The sequence below is a fragment of the Homo sapiens genome, chromosome 15 (genome assembly GCF_000001405.40).
Source record: "Homo sapiens chromosome 15, GRCh38.p14 Primary Assembly".
Lineage (NCBI taxonomy): Eukaryota > Metazoa > Chordata > Mammalia > Primates > Hominidae > Homo > Homo sapiens.
In genome coordinates this window covers 98,242,276-98,247,666 of record NC_000015.10, presented here as the reverse complement: position 1 = coordinate 98,247,666, position 5,391 = coordinate 98,242,276, and the positions used below count along the sequence as shown (strand labels likewise).

Below are 5,391 nucleotides of genomic sequence, written 5' to 3'. Positions count from 1 at the left end.
AGAGTCAAATCCTGACATATGCATATTAACCTTGAATGTAAATGGGCTGAATGTCCCACTTAAAAGACAGAAAATCGAAAGTTGGATAAAGAAGCAAAACCCAACTGTGTGCTGTCTTCAAAAGACCCATCTCACATGCAAGGACACTCACAGGCTCAAGGTAAAGGGATGGAAAAAGGTATAGCAAGCAAACAGAAAACAAAAAAGGGCTGGAGTTGCTATTGTTATTTCAGACAAAACTGACTTTAAACCAGCAATGATCAAAAAGGACAAAGAAGGGTATTGCATGAGATGTGTATATATACATATACATACATAAATATGTATATATGTATGTATACATAAATATATACATATTTATGTATGTATACATAAATATATACATATTTATGTATACATATATAAATATATACATACATAGATATGTATGTATCTGTACAGATACACTTGACCAAATGGACCAGATAGACATCTACAGAATATTCTACCCAATGACAACAGAATGTACACTCCTCTTATCTGTACACAGCATATACTCCAAGATTGATCATTCATACTCTCAGTCATAAAAAAACTCTTAAAAAATTAAAAATATCGGAAATCATACCAACCACACCTCCCAGACCATAGGGTAATAAAAGTAGAAATCAATGCCAAGAATATCACTCAAAACCATATAATTACATAGAAATTAAACAACTTGCTCATGAATGAAATTAAGGCGGAAATAAAAGAAAATATTGAAACTAATGAAAATAAAGATACAACACACCAGAATCTCTGGGACATAGCTAATGAGGTGTTAAGAAGAAAGTTTATAGTGCTAAATGCCTATCTCAAAAAGTCAGAAAGATGTCAAATTAACAACCTAACATCACACCTAGAGGAACTAGAAAAACAAGAGCAAACCAACTGCAAAGCTAGCAGCAGAAGAAAAATGACCAAACTCAGAGCTGAACTGAAAGAAATTGAGATGCAAAAATTCATTCAAAAGATTGATGGACCAAAAATTGGTTCTTGGAAAGAATAAATAACATTGCTAGACCACTAGCTAGATTAATAAAGAAAACAAGAGAAAAGATCCCAATAAACACAATCAGAAATGACAAAGGTAACATTACCACTGACCCCACAGAAATACAAAGAAGCTCTGAGAGCATTACAAACACCTCTATGCACACAAACTAGAAAACCTAGAAGAAATGGATAAATTCCTGGAAACATGCAATCTATCAAGATTGAATCAGGAAGAAATTGAAATCCTGAACAGACCAATGACAAGTTCTGAAACTGAATTAGTAATTAAGAACCTACCAACCAGAAAAAACTCTAAACAAGACAGATTCACAGCTGAATCCTACCAGACATGTAAAGAAGAGCTGGTACCAATCCTACTAAAATCATCTCAAAAAATTGAGGAGGATGAACTCCTCCCTAACTCATTCTATGAGGCCAGCATTATTCTGATACCAAAACCTGGCAGAGGTACAACAACAAAGGAAAACATCAGGCTGATATCGCTGATGAACATAGATGAAAAAATCCTCAACAAAATATTAGAAATCAAATGTAGCAGCACATCAAAAAGTGAATCCATCATAATCAAGTAGGCTTTATTCCTGGGATGCAAGGTTGGTTCAATATACACAAATATATACATGTGATTCATTACATAAACAGAACTTAAACCACATGATCATCTCAATTTATGCAGAAAAATCTTTTGATAAAATTCAACATCCCTTCATGTTGAAAACCCTCTACAAACTAGGCATCAAAGGGATATACCTCAAAATAAGATCCATCTATGACAGACTTACAGCCAACATCATAATGAATGGGCAAAAGCTGGAAGCATTCCCCCTGAGAACTGGGACACAACAAGGATACCTACTGTCACCACTCCTATTCAACATAGTACTGGAAGTCCTAGCCAGAACAATCAGGCAGGAGAAATAAATAAAAGGCTTCCAGATAGGAAGTGAGGAATTCGAATTTTCTCTCTTTGCAGATGATATGGTTCTATACCTAGAAAACCCTGTAGTTCCTACCCAAAGGCTCCTAGAACTGATAAACAACTTCAGTGAAGTTTTAGGATACAAACTCAATGTACCAAAATCCGTAGCATTTCTATGCATCAATACTGTCCAAGTTGAGAGCTAAATCAAGAATGCAATCCCATTCATAATAGCCATAAAAAGAATGAAATACTTAGGAATACAGCTAGCCAGGGAGGTGAAAGATCCCTACAATGAGAATTACAAAACACTGCTAAAACAAATCAGAGATGACACAAACAAATGGAAAAGCATTCCGTGCTCATGGATTGGAAGAATCAGTATTGTTAAAATGGCCATACTACCCAAAGCAATTTACAGATTCAATGCTATTTCTGTCAAACTATCAGCATCATTTTTTTCCACAGAATTAGAAAAAATAAACTATTTGAAAATGAAGATGAAACCAAAAATAAAAGCCCAAATAGCCAAAGCAATCCTAAGCAAAAAGAAGGAAGTCAGAGACATCACACTACCTCACTTCAAACGATAATACACTACAGTAAACAAAACAGAATGGTACTGGTACAAAAACAGACACGTAGATCAATGGAACAGGCCAGAGTACCCAGAAATAAAACTGCATAACTATAACCATCTGATCTTTGACAAAGTTGACAGTAACAAGCAATGGGGAAAGGACTCCCTGTTCAATAAATGGTGCTAGGATAACTGGCCAGCCATATGCAGAAGATTGAAACTGGACCCCTTCCTTGCACCATATATAAAAATCAACTTAAAGACTTAAATGTGAGACCTAAAACTATAAAAACCCTAGAAGGAAACATAGGAAATATCATTTTGGACACAGGTCTTGGTAAAGATTTCATGTTGACATCTCCATATGCAATCGCAATAAAACAAATATAGACAAGAGGGACCTAATTAAACTAAAGAGCTTCTGAAAGCGGAAGAAACTACAGCAGAGCAAATAGACAACCCACAGAATGGGAGAAAATATTTGCAAACTATGCATACAACAAGGGTCCAATATTCAGAATCTATAAGAAACTTAAATCAACAAGCAAAAAGCAAACAGCCCTGTTAAAAAATAGGCAAAGAGACCCGAGTGCGGTGGCTCACGTCTGTAATCCCAGCACTTTGGGAGGCCAAGGCAGGCGGATCACGAGGTCAGGAGATCGAGACCATCCTGGCTAGCACAGTGAAACCCCGTTTCTACTAAAAATACAAAAAATTAGCCGGGCGTGGTGGTGGGCGCCTGTAGTCCCAGCTGCTGGGGAGGCTGAGGCAGGAGAATGGCATGAATCCAGGAGGCAGAGCTTGCAGTGAGCTGAGATCATGCCACTGCACTCCAGCCTGGGCGACAGAGCGAGACTGTGTCTCAAAAAAAAAAAAAAAAAAAAGGCAAAAAATATGAACAGACACTTCTCAAAAGAAGACATACACACAGTCAACAAGCATATGAAAAGTTGCTCACTATCACTAATCATCAGAGAAATTCAAATCAAAGCCACAATGAGATACCATCTTACACTAGTAAGAACGACTATTATTAAGAAGTCAGAAAATAAAAGATGTTAGTGGCATTGCAGAGTGAAGGGAATGCTTGTACACTGCTGTTGGGAATGTACAACATTACAATTAGTTCAGCCACTGTGGGAAGCAGGTTGGAGATTTCTCAAAGAGCTTAAAAGACAACCACCATTTGACCCAGCGATCCCATTACTGCTTATATATACCCAAAGAAATATGTCATTCTACCAAAAAGACACATGTACTCTTATGTTCATCGCGGCACTATTCACAATAGCAAAGACGAAGAATCAACCTAAATGCCTATCAATGGTGGACTGAATAACTAAACTGTGGTACATATACACCATGGAATAACATGCAGCCATAAAAAGAAGAAAACCATGTCCTTTGCAACAACAGGGTTGCAACTGGAGGCCGTTATGCTAAGTGAATTAATGCAGGAACAGAAAACCAAGTGGGCATGCTCACTCATACTGGGCTAAACTTTAAGTACACATGGATACAAAGAGAGGAACAAGAGACACTGAGGCTTACTTGAGGGTGGAGAGTGGGAGACAGATAGGGTATAAAAACTACCTATCAGGTACTATTCTACTATCTGGGTGATTAAATCATTTGTACACCAAACCCCGGTGATACATGATTTACCTATGTAATGAACCTGCACGTGTATCCTCTGAGCCTAAAATAAAAGTTTAAAAAGGAGACTTTGTGATTATATAACATATTAACAAGTTCCAGGGATTAGGATGTAGGGAACTTTGGGTGCTAATTTTTAAGCTTAATACAGTTTGATTTTTTTTATTGAGGTAAAATATACATAGACATAAAATTTACCATTTTAACCATTTTTAAGTGTACAGTTCTGTGACATTAAGTACCTTCACATTACTGTGCAACCATCACCACCACCCGTCTCTGGAACTTTTTCTTCTTCCCCAACTGAAACTCAGTACATGTTTAACACTAAGTCCTTATCCCGCCCTCTGACCCCACCCGCCCCTGACCCGGATGCCATCCACCATTCTACTTTCTGTTTCTATGAATTTGACTACTCCAGGTACATCATATAGGTGAAATCTGTAGTATTTGCCCTTTTATGACTGACTTATTTTACTTAAAATAATGTCATCAAGGTTCATTTATGTTGTAAGCTTGTGTCAGAATTCATTCTTCCATTGTAGTATATACCACATTTTTGTTTAGTAATTCATCTGTTGGTGGACATTTGTGTTGTTTTTACATTTGGCTATTGTCAATAATGGTGCTATAAACATGAATATACAAATATCTGTTGGAATTCTTATTTTTCTTACTTTTTTTCCAATGCCCTCACTTTTACAATATCTTTACTTTTGGGTATATGTCTGGAAGTGGAATTGCTGGATCATAAAATAATTTTACCTATTTTTTGAAGAATTGCTGTACTGTTTTTGACAGTGGCTCTACTATTTTACATTATTACCAGTGATATAACATGACTCTACTTTCTCTCCATCCTTTCTGCTATGGTTTCAATGTTTGTCCCTTCTGAAACTCATGTTGAACCAATGTAGCAGTACTGAGAGATGGGGACTTCAAGAGGTGATTGGGTCATGAGGGCTCTGCCCTCAGGAATGAATTAATTCACCCGTGGACTAACGGATTAATGGATTAATGGGTTATCAAGAAGTGGGACTGGTGGCCTTAAAGGAAGAGGGAGAAAGACCTGAGCTAGTACACTCTGTCCCCTCATCATGTGATGCCCTGTGGCACCTTGAAACTCTCCAGAGTCCCACCAGCAAGAAGGTCCTCATAAGATGCAACTGCTTGACCTTGAACTTCCCAGTTCCAGAAC

General features: G+C 37.2%; 1 annotated feature.

Annotated features, from left to right (window-relative positions):
* Positions 4,412–4,581: an enhancer, noted in NCBI's record as "experimental_42800 CRE fragment used in MPRA reporter constructs". NCBI's record gives its function as "activates a minimal promoter by MPRAs in K562 erythroleukemia cells, with activity observed for both the introgressed and non-introgressed 15:98786400 variant alleles {active_cell/tissue: K562}" and the evidence as "EXISTENCE:reporter gene assay evidence [ECO:0000049][PMID:34662402]".